The following is a 17,818-nucleotide window of genomic DNA, read 5'->3' as shown; positions in this document are numbered from 1 at the left end:
TTCACTAATTTTGGTTGCTTTCTTCCTCCACCAAATCACTGATTATTAAAAAAAAATTGTATAAGGCATTTCTGTAAACTAAAAAAAAAAAACAAGGAAAGTATTCTTTTTCAAGGGGTAGAATCTTACTATGTTTCATGACAAGATTTGATGAAAGGCTAAATCAATGAGGACTCTATTGAATAACTTAAACCCTCAACTTCCACTATGATCAAGGTCATGAGGAAATTCAAGTTGATGGCACCCTGCTGATTTCCAGAAATAAGTAGAAATATTCAAGTGGCTCCACATCCTGAAGAAGAGAATGACATATAGAATGTAGCATTGTTTCTGCTTTTTTCTTAAAGCTTTTCAAAAATTTTAACATTAGAATTTTATGTCACTTTTTTCTGACAATTTCCTTTTTATTATTATTTTTATAGATTTAGGGGGCGCAAGCACAAGTGTGTTACATGGATGGATTGCATAATTCTGGGCTGTTAGTGTACCCAACACCTGAATAGTACACATTGTAACCAATGGGTAGTATTTCATGTTTCACTGCCTCCCACTTTCCCATCTTCTGTAGTCCTCAGTGTCTACTATTATTTCCAACTTTATGTCCACAAGTACCCGTTGTTTTAGCTCCCACTTATAAGTGAGAACATGTTGTTTATTACTTTCTGTTTTGAATCATTTCACTTAGGATAATGGCCTCCAATTCCATCCATGTTGCTGCAAAATATAAGAAGGTGGCATTTTTTTCAACAAAAATCTTGAAGAAATTCAAATGTTATTTAAGACATTTAGTATGCATAATTTGACTCTTTTCTTCAAGTCATTATTACAGATTTCCATGCTTTAAAATGATCAGAAAATCTAGTTTAGTCAGTTCAGAATATAATAAATACTAAAATATTGTAAATATTTTACTTAAATGTTTTAAATTGAGACCACAGGCAAACAAAATTACAGTAATGAACATGCATATTTAGATCCACTGTCCAAAAGAGTTAAACCATTTGTATTAAAAAAAATGCAGGGATGTTTTGAAAAAAATCCCTGATATGGTTTGAATGTGCGTCCCCTCCAAACCTTATGTTGAAATGTGATCTCCAGTGTTGGAGGTGGACCTAGTGGGAGGTGTTTGGGTCATGGGGTTGGACTCCTCATGAATGGTTTGGTGTTGTCCCCATGGTAATGAGTGAGATCTCACTCTATTTGTTCACATGAGAGCTGTTTGTTTGTTTAAAAGAACCTACAATCAGCCGGGTGCGGTGGCTCACACCTGTAATCCCAGCAATTTGGGGGGCCAAGGTGGTGGATCACAAGGTCAGGAGTTCGAGACCAGCCTGACCAACATGGTGAAACCCCACCTCTACTAAAAATACAAAAATTAGCAGGGCATGGTGGTGTGTGCCTGTAATCCCAGCTACTCAGGAGACTGAGATAGGAGAATTGCTTGAACTCGTGAGACGGAGGTTGCAGTGAGCCGAGATCACACCACTTCACTCCAGCCTGGGTGACAGAGCAAGACTCCAACTCAAAAAAAAAAAAAAAAAAAAAAAAGAACCTGGAATCTCCTCCTTTTTCTCTTGCTCCCTCTCTCACCTTCTACCCTGAGTAAAGGCTCCCTAAGTCCTCACCAGAAGCTGAGCAGATGCAGATGCTGGTGCCATATGTGTACAGCCTGCAGAACCGTGAGCCAAATAAACCATTTTTTTTTAATTACCCAGCCTCAGGTATTCCTTTATAGAAATGCAAAATGGACTAACATCCCCTACAAAAAAAAACCCCACAACTCCAAATACAGATTTTAAAAGCTGAAAAAATGGAAAAATTAACTCTTCTTAGAGCCATAAATGAAGTGAGGTCTCAGTGCAAACTACTGCCTCCAAAATTGAAGACAGAGATGGTAAATATAGAGTCGCAATTTAAAAGAGCAGAAACTTCTGAGGAAACCAGTGCTAGGGTAGGAAAACCTGAACTATAATTGATGACTAGCTGGAGGCTCAGTGTGGGCAACTCTGAGAGTTAAAACTCCAGTGGATCCAGCCGTGGGGCATAGGACTCGCTTTTACAAGTTTTATCTCCAAAAGTGCCCTGAGATTCTCGCAGTGAATATCAGAGTAGGGAGAGGGTAAAGGAAACATTTTGAAATACACAGAGCAACCCTTAAAGGGTTGGTTTTATCAGAGGCTAAGTGACCTAGGAGAAGAGAAATGCCCAACTCCAGCCCAGTCTAACCATCCTGCATCAACTAAGAGGGGGGATTAGAAGCTCATAAGAAGTTCACAGTCCAGGGTAACAGGCTCACTAAAGACTGAGATGTAATTATTATTATTATTTTATTTTATTTTAATTTTATTATTATTATACTTTAAGTTTTAGGGTACATGTGCACAATGATGTAATTATAAGACTACAGAATAGCTAAGGCAATCCTAAGCAAAAGGAACAAAGCTGGTGGCATAATGCTACTGAACTTCAAACTATGCTACAGGGCTACAGTAACCAAAACAGCATAGTACTGGTACAAAAACATACACAGAGACCAATGAAACAGAATAGAGAGCTCATGAAAAGGCTGCACGCTTACAACCATCACACGTTTGACAAAGCTGACAAAAACAAGCAATGGGAAAAGGATTCTGTATTCAGTAAACGGTGCTGGGATAACTGGCTAGCCATATTCAGAAGATTTAAACTGGACTCCTTTCTTGCACCATATACAAAAGACAACTCAAGATGGATTAAAAACTTAAATGTAAAACCCCAAACTATAAAAACCCTGAAAGACAACCTAGGCAATACCATTCTGGACATAGGAACTTTTTCATACAAAGATGCCAAAAGCAATAGCAGCAAAAGCCAAAATTGAAATGGGATATAATTAAACTATGGGATATAATTAAACAAAATGGGATATAATTAAACTAAAGAGCTTTCACACAGCAAAAGAAACTATCAACAGTGTAAACAGACAACCTACAGAATGGGAGAAAATTTTTGCAAACTATACATCCAACAAAGGTCTAACATCCAGCATCTATAAGGAACTTAAACAAATGTATAAGAGAAAAACAAACAACTTCATTAAAAAGTGGGCAAAGGACATAAACAAACACTTTTTTTTAACTTTTTTTTTGAGACAGAGTCTCACTCTATCGCCAGGCTGCAGTGCAATGGCGCAATCTCAGCTTACTGCAATCTCTGCCTCCCAGGTTCAAGCGATTCTCCTGCCTCAGCCTCCCGAGTAGCTGGGATTACAGGCACGCGCCACCACACCCAGCTAATTTTTGTATTTTTAGTAGAGACAGGGTTTCACCATATTGAACAGACACTTTTTAAAAGAAGACATGCATGCAGCCAACAAGCATATGAAAAAAAAAGCTGAATATCACTGAGCATTAGAGAAATGCCAATCAAAACCACAATGCCATACCATCTCACATGAGTCAGAAAGGCTATTGTTAAAAAGTCAAAAAATAACAGATGCTGGTGAGGTTGTGGAGAAAAGAGAATGCTTATACACTGCTGGTGGGAGTATAAATTAATTCAACCATTGTGGAAAACAGTGTGGTCATTTCTCAAAGAACTAAAAGCAGAACTACCATTTGATCCAGTAATCCCATTACTAGCTGTATATCCAAAGTCATTCTACCATAAAGACATTTGCTCACGTATGTTTATTGCAGCACTATTCACAATAGCAAAGACATGGAATCAACCTAAATGCCCATCAATGGTAGACTGTATAAAGCAAATGTGGGATATATATATATATATATAAAATATCATTGAATTCTGTGCAGCCATAAAATAGATTAAGCTTATGTCCTTTGCAGGAACATGGATGGAGCTGGAGGCTATCATCGTTAGCAAACTAACACAGGAACAGAAAACCAAATACTGCATGTTCTAACTTATAAGTTAGAGCTAAATGATGAGAACATATGGATACATAGAGAGGAACAACAGACACTGGGACCTACCTGAGGCTGGAGAGTAGGTTGAGGGAAAGGATCAGAAAAAAATAACTACTGAGTACTAGGCTTAGTAACTTGGTCATGAAATAATCTGTACAACAATCCCCTGGGACATGAATTTACCTATATAACAAACCTGCACATGTACCCCAACCTTAAAATAAATAAAATAAAAAAGGCTACAGAATTATTTTCTTCCCCACACATCTTACCACCACATTACTAAAGGCTTAATTAACAGTTACTTTTACCTAACAAACACATCATGTCTGGCTATCAAAAAATTATAAAGCATATTAAAAGGAAAAAGATACAGCTTGAAGAACAAGCATCAAAACCTAATTAGATATGGCAGGGATGCTAGAATTATCAGACCGGGAATTTTAAACTATTCTTATTATGCTAAGGGCTGTAACTGATAAAGTAGACAGCATACAAGAACAGATGGGCAATGTAAACAGAATGAGGAAAATTCTAATAAAGAATCAAAAAGAAATGCTAGAGATCAAAACACTGTAATAGAAATGAGAAAGATCTTTCATGCACTTATTAATAGACTGTACATGGCTGATAAAAGAATCCTTGAGCTTGAGGATATCTCAGCAGAAGCCTCCAAAACTGAAAAAAAGAGAAACAGAAAAGTCTGAATAAAGAAAAACAACAGAATATCCAATAAGTGTGAGGCAACTGCAAAAACTGTAACTTAGAAAATGTTAATACAAGAAGGAAAAACACATAGAGAAGGGAATAGAGGCACACTTAAAGCAAAAATGAATGAGAATTTCTTTAAATAAATGCCTGACACCAAACCCCAGATCCAAGAAACTCAGAGAATACCAAGCAGAACAAATGCCAAGAAGCTACACCTAGGCATATTATTTTTAAACTACAATTATCAAAGATGAAATAGTTCTGAAAGAACTCAGAGGGGTAAATAAAGCACCTTATCTATAGAGAAGCAAAGAGAAGAATTAAGTCTAACTATTCATCAGAAACCATGTAAGAAAGAAGAGAGTGGAGTGAAATATTGAAAGTGTTAAGAGAAGAAAAAAACACATCAGCCTAGAATTCTATATCCTGTGAAATTATCCTTCAAAACTGAGGGAGAAATAAAAACCTTCCAAAACAAATAACAATTGTAGAAACTTGAGCAAATATACCTGCCTTGCAATAAAAGTTTTAAACAAACAGTTCTTTAGGGAAAACAAAAATGTTATAGGTCAGACAGTAGTACATACATAAAGAAAGGAAGAGTATCAGACAAGAAATAAATGAAGGTAAAATAAAGAGAAAATAGTAACAAATGTACATATGAATCCAACTATATCAATAATCACTTTGAACCTTTGTACGAATTACGTTACATGAATTACATGATCTAAATGTGCACATTAAATGACAGAGTTTGACAGAGTGCATCAAAAACAAGACTCTACTGTATGTACTCTACAGGAACCCCACATTAAGTATAAAGACACAAGGAGATTAAAAGTAAATGAATGAAGAACAACATACCATATTAACATTAATCAGAAGAAAGCAGGAGCAGCTATATTAATTTTAAATGGAACCGACTTCAGAGCAAAGGAAGTAGTGTGAAATAGACAGGGACATTACACAATGATAAAGTGATCCACTCTCAAAGAAGACGTAATAATCCTTAATATGTATGCACCTAAGAACGGAGTGTCAAAATATATGATGTAAAATATTACAGAACCTTGAGGAAAAAAGATCAATCTACTATTAGAGACTACAACATGCCTCTATCAGAAATGGGCAGATCCAGCGGCAGAAAACCGGTAAGGACAAAGTTGAACTCAAAAATATCATCAAAAACTGGATATAACTGACATCTATATACTACTTCGCCCAACAACAGCAGCACATGCATTTGTATTAAGCTCATACTGAGAGACAACATTGTGAAACATAAAATGCTTTGACTGTATTTTACAAATATATAAAATATAAATCATACATCTCAGACCACAGTGGAATTAAACTAGGAATTAAACAGAAAGATGGCTGTTAAACCCTCAAATAATTGAAGAATAAGTAACAAAATTCTAAATAGCACATGAGTCAAATAATAAATCTCAAGAAATATTCATAAATATTTTGAACTACCTTAAAATACTAACAAAACTTATCAAAATTGTGGGATACGGTAAAACCAGTGCTTAGAGGGAAAATTATAGCACTGAATGCATATATCAGAAAAGGGGATTTTTACTAAGTATTAGTCATATAAAAAGAATAAAAATTATATTATAATCAAAAGAAAAGAAAATTTTAAAATCAATTGTCTAAGCACCCACCTGTAGAAACTAGAAAAAGAAGAGAAAAATATGTCTAAAGTGAACAAAATATTTATTAAAAAGGAAATAATAAAAATTAGAGTAGAAAGCCATGAAATTGAAAACACAAAATCAACAAAGAAAATCAGCAAAAGCCAGTTCTTTGACAAAAGCTCAACAAAGTGAATAAGCTTCTAGCTAGGCTAACCAAGGAAAAAAGAGAGAGACCACAAATTATTAAGATCAAAAATTAAGGAGGGATCATCACAACAGGTCCCATGAACATTAGAAAAATAATCAAGGAATGCCAGGAACAACTCTATGCTTGCAAATTTGATAATCTAGATAATACGGACCAATTGCTTGAAGGACACAATCTACCAAAACTCATACAAGAAGAAATAGGCAATCTGAACAAGCCTCTGTCTATTAAAGGAATTGTCAATAATTATTAACTTTTCGACATAGAAAGCACCAGGCACAGGTGAAGTCATTGGTGAATTCTGCCAAACATCTAAGGAAAAAACCACACCATTTCTCTGCAATCTCCTTCAGAAGATAGAAAGAGAGGAATTACTTTCAAATCCATTCTGTGCATTATTCTCATACAAAAACCTGGACAAAATTATAAGAAAACTACGGACCAATATCTCTTGTGAACATAGATTCAAAAATTTTCACGTAAGTATTAGCAAATCAATTCCAACAATGTATAAGAAATTATACACCATGACCAGGTGGGAATTATCTCAGGTTTGTAAGACTGTTTCAACTTTTGAAATCAATTAGACTTGACCCTTGAACAACAAGAATTTGAAATGTGTGGATCCACTGATATAAATTTTCTTAAACTACAAATATAAACCACAAATTTTCTTCTTCCTCTATCTCCTTTGAGAGTGTAAGACCAACAATGAGGAAGACCTCATTGTTCTCAGACTACTCCATGTGAAGACAAGAATGAAAGCCTTTGTGATGATCCACTTCCACTTCATGAATAGTAAATATATTTTATCTTCCTTACAGTTTTCTTAATAACATTTTCTTTTATCTAGCTTACTTTATTGTAAAAAACTGTATATAATACATATGACATACAAAATATATATTAAACAACTGTTTATGTTATTGTCAAGGCCTCCAGTCAACAGCCAGCTATTAGTGAAGATTTTGGAGCCTTACACATGACTTTTTGACTGTGCAGGGTATTGGTGCTCCTATTTTCCACATTGTTCAAGGGTCAACTGTCTCATCAATATGCTAAAGAAAATAAATTACATGCTCATATCAATAAATGCAGAAAAAGCATTTGATGCAATCCAACATCTGCTTATGATTAAAAAAATTCTCAGTAACCATTAATAGGAATAGAAGGCAACTTCCTCGACTTGATAAAGTATAGCTACAAAACACCTAGAACTAACTGCTTACTTAATGGAGACTAACTTTCTCACTAAGATCAGGCAAAATCCAAGATGGCATCTCTCACCACTGCTTTCAACACTGTACTGGATGTCCTAGTTAATATAATAAGAAAATGAAATAAAAAGTATACCTATTGTGAAGGAAGAAATAAAAGTGTCTTTGTAGATGATATGGTTGACTGTGTGTATGAAATCCAAAAGAATCAACAAAAAAATGTGTTACTCATAAGAGATTATAGCAAGGTTGCAGGATACAAAGTTAATATACAAATGTCAATTGCTTTCCTATATACCAGCAATGAACAAGTGGAATTTTAAATTAAAACTTCAATACCATTTATATTAGCACTCCAAAAAATAAAATAATAAGGTATAAATCAAACAAAATATGCACATGATCCATATGAAGAAAAGCACAGAACTCTGGTGAAAGAAATAAAAGAATAACTGGATAAATGAAGAAATATCCCATGTCCATTGATAGGTAGATTCAATAATGTCAAGATGTCAGTTATCTCCAGCTTCATCTACAGTTTCAGGAGAATCTCAATTTTAATCCCAGAAAGTTATTTTTTGGATATCAATAAAATGATTCTAAACTTTATATGGAGAGACAAATGACTCAGAATAGCCAATACGATCTTGAAGAAAAAGATGAAAGTTGAAGTATTGACACTACTTGACAACAAAACTTCCTATATAGTAATTAAGACATTGTAGTATTGGTAAAATAAAAGACATATATGTCAATGAATCAGAATAGAGAGCCTGGAAATAGACCCACATAAATACGGCTAACTGAATTGTGACAAGGGAGCAAAGACAATACAATGAGTAAAAGATAATCCTTTTAGCAAATTGTGCTGGAGGAAGTGGACATCCGCATGCAAAAAAAATAAATAAATATAAACACAGATGTTATAACCTTCCCAAAAGTTAATTCAAAATGGATCATAGACCAAAATATAAAATGCAAACTATAAAGCTCCTAGAAGATAACATAGGAAAAAATCTATATGACCTTGGGTTTGGCAATGGCTTTTTAGCTACAATACCAAAGGCACAATCCATGAAATAAATAATTGATAAGCTGGTATTCATTAAAACTAAAATGTTCTGCTCCACAAAAGACAATGTCAAGAGAATCAAAAGACAAGCCATAGGTCAAGATAAAATATTTGCAGAGGACATTTAATAAAGGATTATAATTCAAAATACATAAATAACTCTTACAGTTCAACAATAAGAAAACTAAAAACTAAGTTAAGTAATGGGTCAAAGACCTTTACAGATAGATTAACAAAGAAGATACAAGGATATGGAGGAATAAGAACTCTCATTCGTTGCTGGCAGCAATGCAAAATGGTTCATTCACCTTGTAATACAGTTAGTGGTTCTTTACATAACTAACATACTCTTACTATACAGTCTAGCAACCACACTCCTTGGTGTGTACCCAAAGAAGCTGAAAACTTATGTCCACATGAAAACCTGTAAATGGATGTTTATAGATGCTTTATCTAGAATTGCCAAAACTTGGATGGCTTTCTTGAGTAGGTGAATGGATAAATAAAATGTAGTACATCCAAACAATGGAATATTATTCAGCACTAAAAAGAAATTATCTATAGAGCTATTGAAAGACATGGAGGAACTTAAATTTAAATTACTAAGTGAAATAAGCCAATGAGAAAAGCCTACATTATGATTCTAATATGTGACATTCTGGAAAAGGCAAAACTCTGAAAACATTGAAAAAGATGAGTGGTTGCCAGGGGTTGAGGAAGAGAGAAGGATGAATAGGTAGAGCACGATGGATTTTTAGGGCAGTAAAACTCCTCTGTTGATAGTATAATGGTGGATACATGTCATTATATATATATTTTTAAATCCACAGAATCTACAATAGCAAGAGTGAGCCCTAATGTAGACTAAGGACTTTGGGTGGTAATGATGTGTCAATGTTGGTTTATCAATTGTAACAAATGTACTACTCTAGTGTGAGGTATTAACAATGGCAGATGCTAAGCATATGTGGAAACAGGGAGTATATAGAAAATCTCTATACCTTCCTCTCAAATTTGCTGTGAACCTAAAACTGCTCTAAAAAATAAAGCCTATTTTTTAAAAAGTAAGTTTGTTTGCCAATTATTGGTTTGGCCCATATAAACTGGCTTATATGAAACAACAAAAAAAGCTAATTTAAATGATTCTTTCCCTGAATTGGTCAGCTGATTGCATACCCTAACTGACAAATTACTTGTCAATGTGTTGATTCAAATATTTGATTCCTTTGACATTGTATGGATGCAGCCTTCTAGTGAATCTACGTCACTACAATAGTGGTTTTCAGATGAGTATGCATAAGCCTGGTGTAATGGGACATTTTCCAAATGAAACAGCAGCATAAATATTTTTAAAGACTCAATTCTAGATCCTCAACTTCCATGTGATGTCTTCCTTAACATAGAACTACCTGAGAATGTATCTGTATTTATTCTCCACACATTTTACTAAGAATATCATATCTCTCATCCAGCCCTATTTTTTTTACTATACTGTGCTAGATATAAAAATCTCTAGTCTGACAAAGTAAGAATTTCAAATGTTGCATTTAAAGTCTCTTTTAATCAAGGTCCTATAAACCCACAACAGGATTTATGCATATTTATATTAGGAGTGGAATAGAAACAGGGTATGTTGACCTTGTGAATAAGAAAATCAGATATGTTAAAGAATAAAAGCAGTGGGAGTGCAGATACCTTTTGTTTAATGGCTTTCTTTCTTCAGCTCCTCAGGAATTATTTTTAATACATGACTTCATAGGTAAGGTATCAGAAAAGCAAAGCAACGAGGCACTTATTAAAAAATATTAGACTGGAGGCAGAGCAAGATGGCCAAATAGAGCCCTCCAGCAATCGTCTCCCTGCAGGAACACCAAATTGAACAACTATCTATGCAAAAAAGCACCTTCATAAGAACCAAAAGTCAGGTAAGTTATCACAGTAACTGGTTGTTACATTATATCAAGGAAAGAGACATTGAGCAATGTAGGAAAGACAGTATTGCATTAATATACCACCCCTACCCCATCCCCATTAGCACCACACAAAGAGAGAATCTGTGTGCTTGGGAGAGGGACAGTGAAGTGAATGTGGGACTTTGTATTGGAACTCAGTGCTGCCCTTTCACAGCATACCATAACACGGGGCAGAATTCTGCTTGTGCTCACAGAGGAAGCAGTGAGACTAGCACAGTGCTCAAAGAAATTCTTAGCTCTAGCAAAAGGAAATTGAGTCCTGGCTAGCCCCACCACTGGCAGACTAAAGTGGCCTGAGACCTGAAATAAATTTAAGTGGCAGTTAGGTCAGAAGGACTACAGTCCTTGTGCAAGCTCTGGATCTGTGCTGGTTTTAAAGCAGTAGAATTGGGGCGTGCATGACCCATTGCAACACTAGCTGTGGTGGCAAAGAGAGTGCTCACATCACCCCTCCCACAACTCCAGGCACTGCAGCTTGTGTAGAGACTCTTCTTGCTTAGGGAAACAAAAGGGATGAGTACAAAGGACTTCGTCTTGCAACTTGATTACCAGTTCAGTCACAATAAAAGAAAACACCAAGTGGATTCCTGAAGATCCTTATTCCAGGTCTTAGCACTTGGAAGGCATTTCTAGACCCACCCTGAGCCAGAAGGAAATTCACTCCTCTGAAGGAAAGACTCAGGCCTAGCAGGATTCAACACCTGCTGATGAAAGAACCCTTGGGACTTGAATAAACATCAACAGTAGCCAGGCAGTAGTTGCCATGAGACTTGGGCAACTCTCAGGAATATGCTGGCTTCAGGTATAACTCGGTGTATTGCTAGCTATGGTGGCCATGGGACTTCTCATGTCATCCTTCCCCAAACTTCAGGCAACCCAGGGAGAAGAGAGACTCCTTCTGTTTAGGGGAAAGAGAGAGAAGAGAGTGAGAGACTTTGCCCTATAATTCAGGGAATTATTCCTTCTCTTACACAAGCCCACCAGGGCTATGCATATAGGAGTTGGCAAGAGTTGCAGCATTCCTAGCCATAGGTCACCCCTTAGTGTAAACACAAGTGCAGTGAATACAGGTTTAGATCACAACACTCAACCTTCTTTGAAAATAAAAATAAAAGCCTTCTCAAAAAGGATCATAGAAGCAAGACTGTGAAGATTGGAATAAATACCTAACTCTTCAATGCCAAGGAACATCCATAATCATCAAGAACATCCAGGAAAACATGGCCTCGCTAAAGTAACTAAGACACCAATGACCAATCAGAGTGATGGAGCTATGTGACTTTTCAGACAGAGAATTTAAAATGGCTGTTTTCAGTAACATCAAAGAACTTCAAGATAACATAGAGAAGGAATTCAGAATTCCATTAGAGAAATTTAGCAAAGAGATTGAAATAATTTTTTAAAAAACAAGCAGAAATTTTGGAGCTGAAAGAGTCAATTGAAAAATGCATTGGGGTCTCTCAACAGCAGAACTGATGGAGCAGAAAAAAAGAATTACTGAGCTGGAAAGCAGGTGATATGAAAATATACAGTGATAGGAGAAACAAAACGATAAAAAGAATAAAGTATACCCACAAGACCTAGGAAATAATCTCAAAAGGGCAAATCTAAGCGTTATTGGCTTTAAAGAGAATGTAAAGACAGAGATCCAGGTAGAAAGTTTACTCAAAGAAATAATAGCAGAATGATCCAAACCAAGAGAAAGATATGAATATCCAGGTACAAGAATGTAACAGAACACCAAGAGACTAAACCCAAATAAGACTACCTCAAGGTACATATTAATCAAACTCTCAAAGTTTAAGGATAAAGAAAGCAACTTAAAAGCAGCAAGAGAAAAGAAGCAAATCGCATATAAAGAACTTTGATACTTATGGCAGTAGACTTCTCAGTGAAAATTTAGAGGACAAGAGAGAACGTAGTGACATATTCAAAGTACTGAAGGAAACAACTTCCAACACACAATATTATAGCCAGCAAAATTATCCTGAAAGCATGAAGGAGAAATAAAAATTCACAGAAAAACAAAAGCTGAGAGATTTCATCAACACCACACTTGTCTTACAAGAAACGCTGAAAGAAGTTCTTCAATTGGAAAGAAAAGAATGTCAGAAAACAAACCAAAAAAAAAAAATCAAAAGGTATAAAATTCACTGATAATAGTAAGCAAACAGACAAATACAGAATAATCTAACATTGTAATTGTGGTATGTAAATCCTTAGAAGGAAGACTACTTAAAGGCAGCCCCATCAAAAATAACTACAACAAATTTTAAGAAATCGATTTTATATTAAAAAAACATAAAAAGGGACAAGAAAAAGTCAAAAATGAGGGTGATGGAATTAAAATGTAGAGCTTTTTTTAGTCTTCTCTTTGCATTCTTATTGACTTTTGTTCTTTGCTTTGTAATCAGAGTTAAGTTTTCATCAGTTTAACACAGTTGGATATAAAATGTCATTTACAAACCTCATGGTAACCACAAAACAAAAACCTATAACAGATAAACAAAAATTAAAAAGCAAGAAACTAGATATTACTAGACAAAATCACTTTTCATAAAGGAAGATAGGAAGGAAGGAAGAAAGAAAAAGTGGACAAACAAAACTATCAGAAAACAAATAACAGAATTATAGTAGTAAGTATTTTCTTATCAATAGAAACAATGACTGTAAATAAACTGAATTCTTCAGTCAAAGCCATACAGTGGCTGAATGCATTAAAAAAAAAACAAGACCCAGCTAATATCCTGCTTACAGGGAACTCACGTCACTTATAATGACAAACAGACTGAATATAAAGCAATGTGAAAAGGTATTCCATGCAAATGGAAACCAAAAAAGAACAGAATTGGATTTATTTATATAATATTAAATAGATTTCAAGATAAAAACTGGAAAAAGAGACAAAGAAGGTCATTATATAATGATAAAAGTGTCAATTAGCCCAGAAGATATAACAATTAAAAATATGTATACACCCAACACTGGAGTACCCAGATAAATAAAGCAAATATTCTTTAGAGATAAAGAAAATGACAGACTCCAATACAATAATAGTTCAGTGAATTAAACAGCCCACTTGCAGCATTGGACAGATCAACCAGACAGAAATTAACAAAGAAATATCAGATTTAATCTGCACTATAGACCAAACAGACCTAATAGACATTTACAGAACATTTCAGCCAATAGTTGCAGAAAACATTCTTCTGTTCAGCACATGAAACATTCTCAAGGATAGGCCATATGTTAGGCCACAAAACAAGTCTCAACAGATTAAAAAAATTGAAAACATTAATTATCATTTCTGATACAATGGAATGAAACTAGAAATTAGTTACAAGAGGAACACTGTAAACTTCACAAACACATGGAAATTAAATAATAAACTCCTGAATGACCACTGGGTCAATGAGGAAATTAAGAAGAAAATTTAAATATTATTAAAGCAAATGAAAATGAAAATACAAAATGCCAAAATCTATGGGATACAGCAAAAACAGTACTAAAAGGCACGTTTATAGCAATGAACATCTACATCAAAAGGTAAAAAAAAAATAGTCAATAATCCTAACATTGAATCTTTAAAAAATAGAAAAGCAAGAGAAACCCAAACCAAAAATTAGTATAAGAAAAGAAATAATAAAGATCAGAGCAGAAATAAATGAAATTGAGGCTGAAGATATCACACAAAAGATCAAGAAAGTGAAAAGTTGTTGTTTTGTAAAAATCAACAAAATTAGAGAAGACCCACATAAAATCAAAAATGAAAAAGGAGACATTACAACTGATACCACAGACACACAAAGGATCATTAGAGATTATTATAAACAACTGTATGCCAATAAGTTGGAAAACTTGGAGGAATTAATACCTTTCTAGACACATACAACCTACCAAGATTGAACTGTGGAAAAATCCAAAAGCTAAATACATCAGTAATAAGTAATGAGATGATAGAATCAGTAATAAAAAGTCTCCCACCAAAGAGAAGCCCGTGACCTGATGCTTTCACTGCTGACTCTTACCAAGCATTTAAATAAAAACTAAAACCAATACTACTCAAACTATTTCAAGACACAACAACAACAAAAAAAGAAAACTACAGACCAATATCTCTGATGAAATTGATGCAAAAATCCTCAACAATATACTAGCAAACAAAATTCCACAATACATTAAAAAGATCATCAATCACAATCAAGTGGGTTTTATCCCAGGAACGGAAGGATGGTTCAACATACCCAAATCAATACATGTCATATATCATATCAAAAGAATGAAGGACAAAAACCACATGAACATTTCAATTGATGCTGAAAAGGCATTCAATAAAATTCAACATCCTTTATAATACAGCTCTCAAAACCTGAGTATAGAAGGAACATACCTCAACATGCTAAAAGTCATATACAGCAAACCCACAACTAATATCACTCTGAATGGGGAAAAACTGAAAGCCTTTCCACTACTATCTGGAACATGACAAGCATGTCCACTGTTATCACTTTTATTTAACATCATACTGGAAGTCATATGCAGAGAAATTAAGTGAGAGAAAGAAATAAAAGGCATCTAAATTGGAAAGGAAGAATTAAAATTATTCTTTTTTGTAGATAATATCTTATATTTGGAAAAACTTTGACTCGATCAAAAAACTATTAGAAATAATAAACAAATCCAGTAAAGCTTCAGGATATAAAATCAACATACAAAAGCAAGTTACGTTTCTATATGCCGATAGTGAATCATCTGAAAAAGAAACCAAGAAAGTAATCCCATTTCAATAGCTACAAATGCAATAAAATAACCAGAAATAATCAAAAGTGTGAAAGATCTTTACAATGAAAATTATAAAACATTGATAAAAGAAACTGAGCAGAACACAAAAGAATGGAAAGATATTCCAAGTTCATTTAATTGGAAGAATCAATATTGTTTAAATGCCCATAGAATGCAAAGTTATTTACACATTCAATGTAATCCTTATGAAAACACTAATGACATTATTCACAGAGAAAAAAAATCCTAAAATTTATATGGAACCACACCAAACAGCCAAAGTAATCCTGAACAAAAAGAACAAAACTAGAGGCATTCCATCACTTGCCTTTAAATTACATGACAAAGCTATAGTAACAAAATCAATGTGGTACTGGCGTAAAAACAGACCCATTGACCAATTGAAAAGAATACAAAACCCAGAAATAAGGTCACATACCTACAGCCAACTGATCTTCGATGAAAGTGACAAAACATACACTGTGTTAAAGAAACCCTATTCAATAAACGGTGCTGGGAAAATTGGATTGCCATATGCAGAAAAATGAAAATAGATCCCATCTCTCACCATATGCAAAAATCAAAACACTGATTAAAGACATAAGTCTTAGACCCAAAACTATGAAACTGTTGAAAAAAAAACATTGGGGAAACACTACTGGACATTCATCTGGGCAATGATTTCTTGAGTAAAATGTCAAAAGCACATGCAACCAAAACAAGAATGCACAAATGAGATCATATCAAGCTAAAAAGCTTCTGAACAACAAAAGAAATAACCAAGTAATAAGACAACCGACAGAATGAAAGTATTTGCAAACTACCCATCAGACAAGGGATTTATAATCAGGATATATAAGGAGCTCAAACAACTCAATAGGAAAAAAAATCTGGTTAAAAAAAAAGCACAGGGGTAGGCAGGGCCAAGACAGCCAACTGGAAACAGCAGCGATCAGAGGCTCCCATCGAAAAGAACCACAATTAACGTGTGAATCCTGCACTGGCCACCAAAGTATCCAGGTTCTCTCATCAGAACTGACTAGGAGGCTGGCGTGATCCACAGAGAGAAAGGAAGAGCAGTGTGGTGCAGCGGCCCACCTGAGAGCCACATGGGGCAAGGGAGCCCCCAACCCCCAGCCAAGGGAGAGGTGAGTGAGCATGCTACCCAGTCAGGGAAACCAAGCTCCTTCCACGGACAGGAGGATCCCACTCGCAAACCCATGCCACTGGGGCCTAGTGTCCCAACCCCGGAGCCATGCAGATTCTCAACAGTCGCTCAGCTGGAATCCACTTAAGCCTACTGAGCTTTCTGGGGGAGCAGCGACCAGCCCCACAGGTGCAGCTGCCTGCTGTCTAAGCCCTTTGAGCTCACTGGGGGCAGGGCAGCACCTGGCACTGGGACTCACAATTGCCTAACATGCTAAGCTTCCTGAGTGGGGGAAGGGCAGCACCCATCTCTATAGCTCCAGGCCATGCTTTTCGCCTGCTGGAGCCAGGGAGGCTGCATGACTTGGTACCAAGATGTGTCCCCCCGCAGCCCAACACACCAGCTGTGGCAAACTGTGGTCAGAGTGCCTCTTCAGGCCTGACCCTGACTCATGCTTCTTCACTGGGCAGGGCTTCCCTGCAGAACTCCAATAACTCCAGCCGGAGACTCAGGAACAGAACCCAGATCTCCCTTGGCCTGAGCCCCTAGGGGAAGCAGTGGCCACAGTCTCTGTGGACCGGCAGACTTAGCCTTTCCTCCTGGTAGTTCAGAGGAATGCAGGCAGCCCAGACAAGTGGGTTTTGCCCCAGCGAAGCACAGCCCCTCCAGCAAGGGACAGTCAAAGTGCTTTGTTAAACAGGTCCTGCTCCCCATGCCACCCAACTGGGTGAGACCCTCCAACAGGGATTGTCAGACACCCTATACAGGAGTGATCCTACTGGCACCAGTTTGGTGCCCCTCGAGGTCAGATATCTCAGCAGAAGGAGCAGGCACCCATCTTTGCTGTCCTCCAGCCACCTTGAGTGACATCTCCAGGCACGGGAGTGAACCAAATGAATAGAGCCTCAAGTGAACCCCAGCAAACCACAGCAGCCCTACAGAAGAGGGATCTGTCCATTGAATGAAAAACAAACAAACAGAAAGCAGCAACAACAGCATCAACAATAACAAAAAAGCCCCCCAAAAAAACCCATCAAAGGATCAGCAGCCTCAAAGATCCAAACCAGACAAACTCATGAAGATGACAAAGAAAGAATCAACAAAAAAATGTGGAAAACCCAAAAGGCCAGATTGCCTCTTCTCTTCTGAATGATTGC

General features: G+C 36.0%; 1 annotated feature.

The window, feature by feature from the left end:
• Window positions 16,960-17,460: an enhancer, noted in NCBI's record as "H3K4me1 hESC enhancer chrX:120936436-120936936 (GRCh37/hg19 assembly coordinates)". NCBI's record gives its function as "activates a minimal SCP1, AML or CMV promoter by ChIP-STARR-seq in primed H9 embryonic stem cells {active_cell/tissue: H9 hESC(primed)}" and the evidence as "EXISTENCE:reporter gene assay evidence [ECO:0000049][PMID:30033119]".

Source organism: Homo sapiens, chromosome X (assembly GCF_000001405.40).
Source record: "Homo sapiens chromosome X, GRCh38.p14 Primary Assembly".
NCBI classification, from domain to species: domain Eukaryota; kingdom Metazoa; phylum Chordata; class Mammalia; order Primates; family Hominidae; genus Homo; species Homo sapiens.
Note: the sequence above shows the minus strand (reverse complement) of the source record. Positions and strands in the feature narration are given on the sequence as shown.